General features: G+C 38.8%; 1 protein-coding gene across 16 annotated transcripts in view; it reads right to left on the bottom strand.

Moving 5' to 3' along the window:
• SPAG16 (sperm associated antigen 16) overlaps positions 1–16113 on the bottom strand; it is a 1126038-nt gene that overhangs the window by 476252 nt on the left and 633673 nt on the right. For 15 of the 16 annotated variants that reach the window (NR_047659.2, NR_047660.2, XM_011511814.2 and 12 more), the window contains one exon: positions 4105–4290. The exons of the other annotated variant lie outside the window; for it this stretch is intronic. Coding sequence is in view for 13 of the 15 variants with exons in the window: in XM_011511814.2 (XP_011510116.1) it covers positions 4105–4290 (186 nt within the window). In the remaining 2 variants the exon portion in view is untranslated. The remainder of the gene's footprint in view (positions 1–4104; positions 4291–16113) is intronic. 16 annotated transcript variants of the gene reach the window in all.

Below are 16113 nucleotides of genomic sequence, written 5' to 3'. Positions count from 1 at the left end.
GGAAACATGGGAAACATATAAGCATCACTAGTCCAAATAGTGAAAAACTAGGCAGGCATCATGAGGAACTTTGCCGTGGTACTGAAGAAAGTTCCTTGATTGGACCATGGCTGTCCCCCAGAGGAGCACCTTTCCCCATTGTTCTTTGTAGCTTCTGGCTTAGTTCCACTGTAGGTTCCTTCTTGTTCATTATCCTCTGTGGCCATATTGAGATTGGTGCTATGGTCTCTGCCTTCCTTCTGAACTGTGCAAAAATACAAGTCCACTTTTTTTGGATGCAAGTTTGGGGCTCTGAGGACTGTTTCACTGTTTGAAGAGTCAACGGGATTTAAGGATAGGCTCATAGTTTCCTTGTCAATACAATTCTCTCAAAAACTTGGTAGGTTTCTAATATAGTTGCTTCCAGGCAACGCAATGCCACAGTAACCACAAATTAAAGTAAACACAGTTCTTAAACCTTCTTTATTTTCCTCTTCCCATGTAATTACAAGAGTATTGGACACAATACACTTAGAAATAAGGGCCACAGATTTATCTCCCAACATTAGGGGTCAAGAAGCTGTTGAATTTTGCAAGTCCCTCTGTTTCCTACTATCCTTGGTACAAACCACCCAATTCTTGTCTGTGTAACACCTTGTTAAAACAGCTGGAATAGCAACATTCAGTAACATTTTGGCTGTTTCCGACCCCTTCTCCTTCGAGCTACAAGCTAAGCAGGCACATGGTCTGCCTTCCAAATATCAGAGTAACAGTGTGATATAACTGCTCAGTCAAATACCCAGCTACCTTGGAAGAAAAGCAGCCAGGAGTCAACTAGAATACCTGATCTGATATTATAAATATAAATGGTAGATGCATTGCATATTCCCTTATTGCTTTAAAATTGCTGCATTTTAAATTACTTGTAATCTCATTGAAGGCAATGGTTGAGTATGAGAATTGTCTTAGATCTATAACACAGACCAACATTGTTAAGTCATTTCATGAATACTTACTGCTTAATGTTATATACAAATGCCTCTAAATGCCTCTAAAGAAATACAAATTATTTTTTATAGCTATTTTCTGATTTTTCTACCCCATTTTCATCATTTTATTGATTTGTGTAGGATAAGACAGCATAATTATATTGTAGTTTAAATGTGGATGGGTCAGGGAGAATATTTAGAATACTTTTGCCATATTTACTTGTTGAATCACTCTTTATTCATTTATGTAAGTAAACCACCATGTGCCAAGCACTCTCTGGGTTACACTGGTGTGTGTGTGTGTGTGTGTGTGTGTGTGTGTGTGTGTGTGTTTTCAAACAACCATTAAGTGAAATACATAACAATTTATATACCTGATCATTCAGAAGATAATAAAAAAGCTACTGTTAATTATTCACAGAAACCTTGTAGAGTATGGAATTATTCAGACTGAGTGTCATAGATAATTGTTCATAGATTCTGATTAGCACTCAGTAAATATGAATCTTGATCTGAAATTTTCTATATTGTTGATGCTTCACAGTGATCCAACTTTTTGGTGAGGAACTAAATGGATGGTCTTACCAAGTATTGCCCAATTCAGAAACAGCTGCAGAGCTAGAGATAGAACACCAATCAAGGCTGTTCAAGACTGAGCCAGAAGCTTGAAGGAAAGGACGGGTGTGAAAAGAGAAGAATGTATTCTAAACTCTTCCTTCTCTGGTGACTAATACTGTCTACCAATATAAATTTGGTATTTATTAAGAACTATGCAGCATGGCCAGGCGCAGTGGTTCACGCCTGTAACCCCAGCACTTTGGGAGTTTCTCAAACACTTAGAAGCTTGAGACCAGCCTGGCCAACATGGTGAAACCCCGTCTCTACTAAAAATACAAAAATTAGCCAGGTGTGGTGGCACGTGCCTATAGTCCCAGCTACTCGGGAGGCTGAGGCAGGTTAACTGCTTGAACCCAGAAAGCAGAGGTTGCAGAGCAGTGAGCTGAGATTGTGCCACTGCACTCTAGCCTGGGTGACAGAACAAGATTCAGTCTTAAAAACAACAACAACAACAACAACAACAAATATATATATATATATATATATATATATATATATATATATATATATATATATGCAGTATCAAGCCAAGAATATATGACACAGCATACATAGCTCCAGCACCATCCATCTTACCAAGGCAAATAATCTCTTGCCTTAAGTAACTAAGCCAGTTCAAGTAATCTATGAAATTTTGAAGAAAGACACTAGTTTTAGACATATCTATATTGTATTGATCTGAGAGTAATTATAAATTAGAGCTTGGTACTTTGATTGTGACTCTGAAAGGTATATCAATAGCCACTATAGAAACAATCAATTTCTACTTTATTTGTCAATACTTATCCACCACCTCAATGCCAAAATTAGTACAATTTATTTTGTCCTTGATGATGAAAGTGAACTCTTGACAGTGATGGGAAACTTGAAGTTTAAAGAATTTTGGCATCAATCAGAAGCAATTTTGATCTGTAATATCAAGATTTACTGGGCACCAATTGGAAGTCAGTATTTAGATACCAGGGTCATAAAGAAAAGTTGTCAAGTCAAAGTGTTTGAAATCATTCCAAGTAGGGCTGAGACTACTGAGTTTTTTAACCATAGTTTGCTTTTAAACACCCTGGGTAGTTAAGAGTTCTAAAGACATATTACATTTTAGAAAAGATCACTGTTTTCTATTACGATCCTCAACCAAGTCAAAAGTGATACAAAATTCAAATTAAATACTAGTGCTAAAATTCCATTAATCTATTATAAAAATATTTATGAAATCCAGTCACACATTATAGAAATATAATAAAGAATTATAAATGATTGGATATTCCAGATAAATAGTAAGTACCCATCTGAGAATTAAAAGCTATCTGAAATTGTCACTATTTCAGATAGACATAGGTCTAAAATATGTTATTCACAGTCATGTTTTCTCCTATGGGGCAGGCTAATTTTATTTAGCTATAGCTTTATAACTCAGGTGGGTTATGCTCCTTATCCACTAATGCCCTGGATCTTTCAAGGACTTGTCAGGAAACGGAACTTGCACCTATCATTGTAACAATAATAATTTCACATGCAGGATGGTAAAAACTGAATAAAGTTGCTAACTAAGTAACTAAAAAAGGGAAAAGAACATTAAAATATCATGGAGATAACAACTTCAAGAAAGAGCTACCACCCCTAGGACTGAGCGAACACAGGGAATAAGGTAGAATATTAAAACTTAGACCCTTGAAGGGAGGACCTTCAAAACGGAACCTCAGTCCTCCGAGGAGAGGGCACTTCTCTGCTGTTATGGGTGTTCCTCTGGTGGATGGAGGTCCTTCCAGAGCTAGGACCACAGACTACTGAGAAAGTTTGATGGATGATATATAACCCCTTAGCTGAAGGAATTAGCATATTTGATAGTAGCTAAATTTACCTCTTTGTATCATATCTGCAAACCTAACAGAAGGTAATGAGCATCCAAAAATATATGGGTGATAGTAATTTCAATATTTGAAACATAATGAATTTGTCTACCTTGAATTAAAATCAAAACATAAAACTTCCAAATCCACATGATATGTATAGGATTTTACATACAATACAGTATACTATTTCCTACAATTTGTGAATCGACAAGAAACATTTAATCAAGAATATCACGACATAACAAATTAAGCATAAAGAAAATAATTATTTCTGTTATATTTACGTTCGTTGAACTATTACATTTAATAGTACAGAGCAATAACAAGCCTGTGGAAAGCGGAACTAAAAATCCAACTCTTTAAAAGAAGTATTTGTTTCTATCCTGCTTGAAACAAACAGCTTTCCAATGAAGCAATTCTAATCTTATTACATAGGCTTGATCTTGATACTTACATTTAGAAAGAAATTATTAATCAACAAAGATTAATGGAGTTAGAAATGGATTTCACAAAGATTATTTAAGTAGCTCTCTATAATCTTATCAACTAACAGTTTCTTTTAATGTTTCCCTGGGGTAGCATCAAGGAAAAAAAAAAAAGAACTTTACCACTTTACCCACGTATATGTATCAGCACAGAGGATTAGTAATGTTTAAAGTACTTCTTACCTATTAACATCCCAAATTTTGCTAGTTTTATCCAGTGAGGAGGAAGCCACAAAATTGCCGCAGGAGTGCCATGTGCAGGACCACACTGCGCGGCTGTGTCCTTCAAAGGTCAAAATGCAATCGCCTTTACATAGATCCCATAATTTAACTGTAGTGTCACCACTTGAAGTAGCCAATTTGTCGCCACTATTTGCAAAAACATAAAAAGACAGCTTGTTTAAAAAGTAACATAATTTTTATGAATACTGCATTCTATGAGTAATTTGTGTGTATGTGTATGTATCTGATTTATTTTTACTTGTAGTGGCATATCTAAATGACTAAATATTATTATCTTATTTGGGTCTACACAATTGCTAACTTGAATTGCTTAGTAATTCAAGCTGAAGAGAGAAACTGCTGCTGTGCAGTTTCTAGATTAATTCTGCTAGATTCTTCTAGATTAATTCACTAAATTAGTGTTTTTGTTATCATGTGTTTGTTTGGTTCAGCGTTGTATATATTAGGCTCTGGATGATCGGGCTTCAGAACAATAAAGATTCAGACATGGGCTAAATCAGTTTCAAAAACATAATACAATATGAAACAGTAAGTCAGCATTGCTTATGTTTAGATTAATTAAATGCTTCAGGAGTGCAGTTTGGATGAAGGAAGAAGTGAATCAGGAATGAGATACCTTTGAGTTAGATCATGAGAGATCAAAGAGATGTTTAAGTGCTGGGTGGTTGAGCATGACTCATTCAATTTTGCATTTCGGTAATCAGTAGATCTTAAAGCAGTGGCTTCCAAGTGGTGGACACAAAAGCTAGTTTAAGAAATGGGTAGGCGTCAGGCTCGGGCACGGTGGCTCACACCTGTAATCCCAGCACTTTGGGTGGCCGAGGCAGGCGAATCGCCTGAGGTCAGGAGTTGTAGAAAAACCTGGCCAACAAGGTGAAACCCCGTCTCTACTAAAAATACAAAAACTAGCCGGGCATGGTGGCGTGCGCCTGTAATCCCAGCTACTCGAGAGGCTGAGGCAGGAGAGTTGCTTGAACCCCGGGGACAGAGGTTTCAGTGAGCCCAGATCGCACCACTGCACTGCAGCCTGGGCAACAGAGTAAGACTCAGTCTTAAAAAAAAAAAAAAAAAAAAAAAAAAAAAAAGAAAAGAAAAGAAATGGGTAGGTGTCAATGACACCAACAGAAACATCTAGTTGGTTTTGTGTGTGTGTGTGTGTGTGTGTGTGTGTGTGTGTGTGTAACATCAGCTGCAAGAAAATTTTACTTCCATCATCTTCTACACATCCTTCTGCATTGCATGCTTTTTAAATGTGTTCTCTTAGGTACTTTCTCTCACCGAATTGTAATATACCACTTATTTATCCTCCTCCTCCCTGCCAGACTGTTTTATGATGGAGAATTGCATTTCATCTCTGTTTCTACGGCACCAAGCCTCATGACTGACCAATTAAAGTGCTTAGTAAATGCTTTAGAGTAAGTAAATATAGAAATGCATGCAAGCATGAATGAAATTATGCTATAAATGAAGAAGAAAAAGTTTCTGGCATCTCTGACAGAGGGAATAGTAGAATCAAAAAATATTTTGTTTTCTTGCTCATAGGCTTGGGTATTTTTCAGCTAAGAGGGAAATGTAATTTCTATCTGCAGCGTAGAAACAGCCACCATTAGAGAGAAAGAGCTTGAAGTTTCTGGAGAGAAGGTGGATTATATAATGAGGATATTCTCATTTGAGTTAGAAAAGAATATCCAAGGGGCCAGGTGTGATGGCTCACACCTGTAATCCCAGCACTTTGGGAGGTCGAGGGGGGCAGATCATGAGGTCAGGAGATAGAGACCATCCTGGCTAACATGGTGAAACCCCGTCTCTACTAAAAATACAAAAAAAAAAAAAATTAGCCAGGCATGGTGGCGTGTGCCTGTAATCCCAGCTACTCGGGAGGCTGAGGCAGGAAATCACTTGAACCCGGAAGGCAGAGGTTGCAGTGAGCCGAGATCATGCCACTGCACTCCAGCCTGGGGGACTGCGACTCCATCTCAAAAAGAGAAAAGAGAAGAGAAGAGAAGATCCAATTGATTTTTCAAATTTGACTATCTGAAAAATCACCAAATGGCAGCTAGTCCCTTCACCAACAAAAACTGTTTTTGCCACAATAGTTGGTTTGCACATATGTTTGTCATTCAGAATTTTAGTTTTTAATATTAAAGATTGAACAATACACTTATCCAAAAACATGCATGTAAAAAAATTTAAAAATTATTTAAGCATGCTTCTTTCTCAAATCTATCTTTCCAATGGGTATCATGTTATTATGGACCAAAATCTTAGCATAGGATAAAAATTATTGTGGTATGTTTCTGCCTGTGGCTGAAAAACCCTCTCATATAAGTTTTATATGCTTATTTTGTGTTTTAAACCATGTGCCAGGCAAAAAAAACAAATCACACTGGAATAATTACAACTAGAATGAAGCAGTATTATTTCTTTGTGAGTGCTGTAACTGATATTTAGTCAACAATAAATATAAACAATATTCCCATAAGTTTTTAATATATAGAGTCAGAGCTCATATACTAAATCCAAAATATATCAAATATAAATTTCTGAACATTCTTTTGAAATGGTTTTGCCTTTCAAAAACATGGCCTGAAATATGGAAAACTGTATAACTTTGGTTCATGAAAAAATAAAGGCCATTTCTGAGGGCTGAGAGAAATCAAGAGAGAGAAAAAGAATGGTACACTAAAATCAAAAAAGTGTGTTTTAAGAGATGCAAAAGATCAGAGTTTCCCTGGGCTCCACACAAATAGAAGGAACCAAAGCTCTCAAAAAGAGCACAAGTGAATGTTATGGACTGACTGACTGTGCCACTCCTTTCCCAGATCCGTACATTGATGCCCTAATTCCAATGTGGCAGTATTCGGAGGTAGGGCCTCTGAGAAATAACTAGGTTTAGACAAGGTCATGAGCACGGGAACCCTGTAATACGATTAGTGCCTTTATAATCAGAGAAAGAGACTGGAGTTAACTCGCTCCCTGCATTGTGAGGACACAGCAAGAAGGCAGCCATTTACAAGGCAAGAAGGGGGCCCTCACCAGAACCTGATCAGGCTGGCACTCTGGTCTTAGACTTCTAGGCTCCAGGAGTGTGAGAAATTAATTTCTGTTATTTGAGCTACCCAGTCTCTGTTATTTTGTTATGGCAGACTGAGCTGACTAATAATGTAGATCCACGCTGTTGGTATACAGCCCAAGTTATTAGAAATTAGCTACTCAAAATTCTGCAAATAAAATTCAACCAAGTATGAGCTTACAAAATTATTCTCAAACACATAATGGGAAATAAGAAGCCATGACTGAGGATGAGCTAATAAAATTAACAAATACCCTGAAGGACACTAGTTGTTATAATTAAAGGGTACAAAATATAACTATAAGTAAAGTATATAAGGAAATAACAGCTACAATAAAAAGATCAAACGACGTAAGGTTATAACATGAATCTGCAAATCTGAAAAAAATATATATTTAGAAATTTTAAAAATAAAATTATTGAAATTAAGAAATCAATGGATGGGTTAAATAGCATATGAGAAACAGCAAAATTCAGAGTAAATGAATTGGGAAATAAATCCGGAAAAAAAATGAAAAACATGATATGTTCTCACTCACAGGTGGGAGTTAAGCTACGAGGCTGCAAAGGCATAAGAATGATACAATGGACTTTGGGGACTTGGAGGAAAGGGTGGAATGGAAGTGGGGCGAGGGGTAAAAGACTACAGATTGGGTAAAGTGCATACTGCTTGGGTGATGGGTGCACCAAAATCTCAGAAATCACCACTAAAGAACTTACTCATGTAACCAAACACCACCTGTTCCGCAAAAACCTATGGAAATAAAAAATAAAAATAAATAAAGTACATATTTGAAAAAATTATCCCAACTATAGACAGATGAGGAACTGAACACAGTATAGGTGGTTAAAATTATAAAGGATACAATAAAAAAGTATATTTTCCTAATCAAAATTCCAGAAGAGAATGGAAATAAAAGATAGATGTAACATTCAAAGAATTAAGGGTTGAGAATGTACAGAAACTAGAAAATTTAAGACCTAGAACCACATGTTTGGAAAGAAAAATGTATACCAAACAGGATAAACAGTGGTGTCAATAAAAAGAAATTTTTACTTAGATGCATTTTAGTGAATTGCTGAGCAGCATTGGCAATAATAAGAATTATAAGAAAAAAAGGAGGGAAAAAAGAAAAATAAGGTTATTTATTTATATAGTGATAAATATGTGTTAGAAACACTAATAAGCTCTTTATATATATTTGATCTTCACTATGACTCATAAGATGACTACATTATCTCTAAAACACTTAAACAACATCACAGAGAAAATAAGTCACAGGGGTGAAATTTCTTCAAAGAGCTAATAGAAAATAATGTTACTCTGGAATTATCAAAAATCTCTCTCAAAACAAGAACAAGGCTGGGCATAGAGGCCCATGTCTGTAATTCCAGAACCTTCGGAGGCCAAGGCAGACAGATTACTTGAGGTCAGGAGTTCGAGACCAGCCTGGCCAACATGGTGAAACCATATCCCTACTAAAAATACAAAAATTAGCCGGATAGGGTAGTGGACACATGTAGCCCCAGCTACTTGGAAGGCTGAGGCAGGAGAATTGCCTGAACCCAGGAGGCAGAGGTTGCAGTGAGCCAAGATTGTGACACTGCACTCCAGCCTAGGCAACACAGCAAGACTCCACCTCAAAAAAAAAAAAAAGGAAGAAAAGAAACAAGAACAAGTATTAATGTTCCAACTAAACAAAGCAGTCCTCTCCTACAGAAATTACTAAGGATATATTTTAGGGACAGAAGATCTGAAAGGGAAGAAATAGTGAGCAAACAATTTGGTAAACATGTAAGTATATAGAAATATTTGTGTAGATAAATAAAATGCTTGCAAAAATAAAACAAAAATGCTTGTAAAAATAAAAAAAAACAATAATGATATAGTATTAATAAAGTTCATGTGCTATTAAGAAGAGAAGTAAAACCTTGATCAATTTAGGCTTTACTAAATTCAGTCAGCATGGTAAAATGTTAAGAGTGAGCACTATAAGAATAGTAATAGAGCATATGACTTCCAAACCAGTATAAGAAAAAAAGAAATGGGTAAGAAAAACTTACAATTATAAACATCTAATATATCTAAAAGAAAATAGGAAAGGAGGAAAAAAGCACTAGAATAAATGATACAAATAGAAAATGAATTTTAAAAATAAGTTTTTAGATAGAAATACAAACATATGAACAAATCCAACAAACACAAATAGACTAAAGTGGAAGCTAAAAGACATAAAAGACAAAGATTTTTCAGTTTGGCTAAAAAGAAACAAATTCAGCTATATGATTTTTACACGAGGCACACTAAACTTCTAAGGAGATACAAAGATTGAGAGTAAACAAAGCAAAGCAAAGCAAAGCAAAATGAAAAAGTACCAAAAAAAGTTACCTAGGCCAAAGGAAATGAAAATAAAGATGAGGGATAGGGCCAAGATGGCAGACGAGAAGCAGCTTGTATGTGCTGCTCTCACAGAGAGGAACTAAAAGGCTAGTCAACACTGACCCTGCAGGCCAATCATCTGAGAAACCATGCTGGGATCCATGAAGGCAGCAGGAGAACACAGAGAACAGAGAGGAGCAAAGCTATCTGTCTGGGATCAATGTGGCGCAGAAGAACCTCTACAAAAATGGGAAAGGGTGAGAGAGTGAGAGCTCCCCAGGAGATTCATGCTCTCTGCAGAGACCTGTACAAGACTGGGAGTAGGAAAATCTGCCTGGCCCCCAGCTGTGCTTCCAAACTGAGGGAGAGAGCCATCCAGACATTTTGCAGGGGCAACTATCAAGTCCAAGGGGACTACAAGCCTTTAACCCCAGAGCAGACCAGCACCAGTGCCATCACCTGAATAAAGGCATAGTTGCAGTGCCTGGGAGCAGTAAGATTGCTCCACCCACCCCCTTGCCAGATGGGGCTCAGCACCAGCTTCTAGCCCATCAGTCCCACTTCAGCCTGAATTTGGCCTGCCACTCCACCCACCCCCACCACTGCTAGGCAGGCAGGCAATGCTTACTAGAGCTTCCAGCCCAGTTGTTCCACTTCTGTGTAAATTCAGCTGCAGGATACAGCCTCCTGATGTCCCGGGAAACACTCAGGTGGCAGGAGGCTGCACATGACCCCACCCACTTTTGCCATGGACAGCCAGGTGGGCAACAACTGCTAGAGCCTCCAGCCCAGTCATCCCACCTCTATGTGAGCTCAGCTGGAAGGTGCAGCTTCCTGTTGCCCTGGGAAACACCCAGAGAGCACAGCACCATGTGACCTCACCTGCCCTCATCACTGGTTGCCAGGTGATCAATGTGTGCTAGAGCTTCCCGCCCAGCAGTCCTACTTTTGTTGAACTCAGCTGGAGGGCACAGCCTCTTGCTGCCCTGAAAACACCCAGCTGGTAGGGCAGACAACCCCATCCATCCCTGCTACTCATAGCCAGGCAAGCGACACATGATAGAGTTTCTGGCTCAGTGGTCCTGCTTCAGAGGGAACTCAGCTGAGGAGCACAAGCCTCCTGTTGTCCCAGGAAACACCTGGACAGTAAGGCATGTGATCCCACTGACCCTGCAAGGCAGGCAACACTTGCTGGGGCTTCTGGCCCAGCAGTCTGGCTTCTGTTTGGACTGATCTAGAGGGGGCAGCTTTCTGTTGTCCCAGGAAACACCCAGACAGCAGGGCACACGACGCTGCCTGACACTGCCACTGGCAGCCAGGTAGGCAATGCCTGCTGGAGCTTTTGGCCCAGCAGTTCCACTTCTGTGGGAACTCAACCAGTGGGTAGACTCCTATTGTCCTAGGAAGCTCCCAGAAAGCAGGACAAGCATCCCCACCAACCCCTGCCACTGGTGGACAGGTGAGCCACATCTGATAGGGCTGCTGGCCCAACAGTCCTAGTTTTCCCTGAATTTGCTGAGGGGTGCAGGCAGGCTCCTGTTGCCCTGGAAACACCAGGAGGTCAGGGTAGGCAACTCCACTCACCCCTGCCTCCCATAGCCAGATGGACCACACCTGCTAGAGCTTCCAACCCAGAGGTCCCACTTCTGCCTGAACTCTGCAGGCAAGTGCAACCCCATGTTTCCCCAGGGAGCACATGGACATCAAATTAAGGCCAACCTGGCAAGAATACAGCTTGTCTGTCAACCGCAGCCCTTGCCTGAGGAAACTCAATAGATCAGAAAGCCCAACAGAAGAAATGCGGGCATGCAGACAGTAATCATAGAGGGTGCCACCAAGACCCAGTAGTGTACTAGAATCAAAGCCAGTCAACCAAACTCAATTATAACATAATAAAATCCCCAAGGGCATCAATGAAGAAAAAAACAAAAAAATCAATTGAAAGGACAGAAACTTTAAAGACTGAAGGAACATCAGCCCACACAAATTAGAAAAAGCCAGTGAAAGAACTCTGACAACTTGAAAAGCCAGAGTACCTTCTTTCCTCTAAATAATCATACTATTTCCCCAGCAAGAGTTCTTAACCAGGCTGAAATATCTGAAATGAGAGAAATAGAATTCAGAATATGAACAGGAACAAGGATCATCAAGATACAGGGAAACAGCAAAACCCAATCCAAGGAAGCTAAGAATCACAGTAAAATGATACAGGAGCTGATAGTCAAAATAGCCATTATAAAAAAGGAACCAAACTCATCTAATAGAGATAAGAAACATACTACAAGAATTGCATAATTAAATCACAAGTATAAACAGCAGGATAGAAGAAACTGAGGATAGAATCTAAGAGCTCAAATTCTGGCTCTCTGAAATAACTCAGTCAGACAAAAATAAAGAAAAAAGAATTTAAAAGGAAGGAGCAAAATCTCCAAAAGATATAGGATTATGTAAATAGATGAAAACTATGACTCATTGGTGTCCCTGAAAGAGACAGGGGGAAAGTAAGCAACTTGGAAAACATATATCAGGATATTGTACATGAAAACTTTCTAACATTGCTAGAGAGACCAACATTCAAATCCATGAAATGCATATAACTCCTGTGAGATATTATACATGAAGACCATCTCCAAGACACATAATCATCAGATTCTCCAAGGTCCAAATGAATGAAAAAATGTAAAAGGCAATTAGAGAGAAGAGACAGGTCACATACAAAAGGAATCCCATCAGGCTGGACTTTTCAGCAGAAACTCTTCAAGCCAGAAGACATTGAGTGCTTATATTCAGGATTCTTAAAATAATATTTGAAACAAGAATTTCATATCCAGCCCAACCAAGCTTCATAAGTGAAGGAGAAATAAGATCATTTTCAAACAAGCAAATGCTGAATGAATTCATTACCACCAGAACTGCCTTACAAGTGGTCCTGAAAGGAGTGCTAAATGTGAAAAAGAAAGATCATTATCAGCCACTACAAAAATACACTTAAGTACACAAACCAGTGACACTATAAAGCAACCACACAGACAAGTCTGCATAATAACCAGCTAACAATATGATGACAGGATCAAATTCGTACATATGAATAGTAACCTTGAATGTAAACAGCTTAATCCCCCAATTAAAATACACAGAATGGCAAGCTGAACAAAGAAGGAAGACCCAATAGTATGCTGTCTTCAAGAGACCCATCTCACATACAATGACATCCATAGGCTCAAAATAAAGGAATGGGGAAAAATCAACCAAGTAAACCACCACCACAACAACAACAACAACAAACACAAAAATGCAGGGGTTGCAATCCTAGTTTTAGACAAAACAGACTTTAAACCAACAAAGACCAAATAAGCTAAAGAAGAGCACTATATAATGGCAATAGTTTCAATTCAACAAGAAGACCTGATTAAGTAGAAGATGGCCAACTTGACACAACCAGGTGGAACAACTGCCACCAAGGGACCAAGAAAATTGGCACACTCCTGACAGAGCTTCAGAGGGAAGCCTGTGAGAGTGGATGGAGGGAAGATACAAAAGCTGTGCTCAAGTGGGAGGAAGCTGGGAACCCTACAGGAGGCTACCAGGCAGGGGACTAATTCCTACCCTCCAACAACTCCAAAGGAATGGGTGAATTGAACTGACAAGGATCAACCTACTCTTGCCACAGGCCTCTGGAATCTTGGCAGGAGGAGACCCCTAAACTATGACGGATACTTGAGTTGGAACAAAGAGCTGCTTAGAGAATTGGTAGGGGCAGCATGCCAGCTGATGCAGAGCCAAAAGGATTTGGTGCCTAAGCACTCGTGGCAGAGTATGACAAGAGATGTCCATCCCTGTAGGCTCGACATGCTACCACAGGAGACATTATCCCTAGGGAAACTCTCAGACTTGAACTCTGCATGGTGGTCTTGCCCATCAGATGGGGCTAGTCTGACTTGAGCACCCCTTGGTCTGCTGGCCTCTTCCAGGGCCCCAGCCTGGCCATGCCTGCTTGTAGAACAAGCAGGTGCTCTGGGAGCCCACATAATAGCTCCTGCAGTGGTGAACTGTGCCTGACTGGCAGAGAGGTCCAATGGGGCAGCCCCCATGGCCACACACCAGCCTGCCTATTCCCTACCCCCACTGCAGCTTCCTCCAGGCCCAGAGCCACCACATATATCACATTGCCAACATGTGTGTACGTGGGTGGGTTTTACCTTCCCCCATGCCAACGTGTGTGTGCATGCATCCTAACCTGCCAGTATACAGACCAGTGACACTATAAAGCAACCGCACAAACAAGCTTGCATAACAAGCTAACATCATGATGACAGGATCACATTCACACATATCAACAATAACTTTAAATGTAAATGGGCTAAATGCCCTAATTAAAAGGCACAGAGTGGCAAATTGGATAAAGAACCAAGATTCATTGGTATGCTGTCTTCAAGAGACCTGTTTCATATGCAGTAACACTCAGAGGCTCAAAAATAAAAGGATGGAGAAAAATCTACCAAGCATATGGAAAACAGAGAAAAGCAGGGGTTACTATCCTAATTTTAGACAAAATAGACTTTAAACAGATAGAGACGAAAAAAGGGGAGCATTACATACTGGCAAAGATTTCAATTCGATGAGAAGACCTAACTATTCTAAATATATATGCATTCAACACAGAAGCAACCAGAGTCATAAAGCAAGTTCTTAAAGACCTTCAAAGAGACTTAGACTCCTACAAAATAATAGTGGAGACTGCAACACCCTACTGACAGTATTAGATCATTGAGTCAGAAAATTAACAAAAATATTCAGGACCTGAACTGAGCACTGGATCAAAAGGACCTGATAGATATCTACAGAACTCTCCCCTCCCAAAACAAATAGAATATACACTCTTCTCATTGCCACATGCACATACTCTAAACTCTACCACATAATGAGACACAGAACAATCCTCAGCAAATGCAAGAGAACTATAATCATATCAACTACTCTCTTGCATCACAGCACAATAAAATTACATATCAAGACTGAAATAATCACTGAAAAACATACAATTACATGGAAATTGAATAGCTGCACTTGAATGGCTTTTGAGTAAATAATGAAATTAAAGCAGAAATCAAGAAGTAAGAAGTTATTTGAAACTAATGAGAACCAAGACACAACATACCAAAATTTCTGGGACACAGCTAAGGCAGTGTTAACAGGAAAATTTATAGCACTAAATGCCCACATCAAAAAGTTAGAAAGATCTCAATTTATCAACCTAACATCACAACTAAATGGACTAGAGAACCAAGAGTAAACTGAACCCAAAAACTAACAGAAGAAATAAGCAAAATCAGAGATGAACTAAGGAGATTGAGATATGAAAAAACCACTGAAAAAAATCAATGAATCCAAATAATCAATGGTAATTTAAAAAACTTAATAAGATACAAAACCAAGATTAAACTGACCCCAAAACTCACAAAAGAAATAACCAAAATCAGAGATGAACTAAGGACATTGAGATATGAAAAATCACTCAAAAGATTAATTAATCCAAATAATCAATGGTTATTTGAAAAAGTAAATAAGAGAGACTGCTAGCTAGAATGATAAAGAAGAAAGAAGATCCAAATAAAAACAATTAGAAATTACAAAGGGCATTACACTGATCCTGACATTACCACTGAACCCACAGAAATACAAATAACCATCAGAGACTATTACGAATACTTCTATGCACAAACTAAAAAATCTAGAAAAAAATGGAAAAATTCCTGGACACATACACCCTCCCAAGACTGAACCCAGGAAAAAAAATGAATCCCTGCACAGACAAAAAAAATGAGTTACAAAACTGAATCAGTAATAAAAAGTCTATGTATTAGTCCATTTTCATGCTGCTGATAAAGACATACTTGAGACTGGGTATTTATAAAGAAAAAGAGATTTAATAGACTCACAGTTCCACATGGCTGGGGAGGCCTCACAGTCATGGTGGAAGGTAAAAGGCATGTCTTACATGGCAGGAGACAAGAGAGAATTTGTGCAGGGAAACTCCCCTTTATAAAACCATCAGATCTCATGAGACTTATTCACTAACAAAAGAACAGCACAGGCAAGTCCTGCCTTAATTCAATTACCTCCCACCAGGTCCCTCCCACAACACATGGAAATTATGGGAGCTATAATTCAAGATGAGATTTGGATGAGGACACAGCCAAACCATATCAGCCTATCAACCAGAAAAAAACCCAGGACCAGATAGATTCATAGCCAAATTCTACCATATGTATACAATGAAGAGCTCCTATCACTCTTACTGAAACTGTTCCAAAAAATTGAGGAGGAGAGATTCCTTCTCAACTCATTTTATGAGGCCACTATTTTCCTGACACAAAAACATGTCAGAGATACAACAAAAAATAAAATTTCAGGCCAATATCTTTGATGAACACTGATACAAAAAACCTCAACAAAATAATTGCCAATCAATTCCAGCAGCACATCAAAAAACTAA

The sequence above is a fragment of the Homo sapiens genome, chromosome 2, assembly GCF_000001405.40.
Source record: "Homo sapiens chromosome 2, GRCh38.p14 Primary Assembly".
NCBI classification, from domain to species: domain Eukaryota; kingdom Metazoa; phylum Chordata; class Mammalia; order Primates; family Hominidae; genus Homo; species Homo sapiens.
The sequence above is the reverse complement of the archived record's forward strand: the minus strand, read 5'-3'. Positions and strand labels throughout refer to the sequence as shown.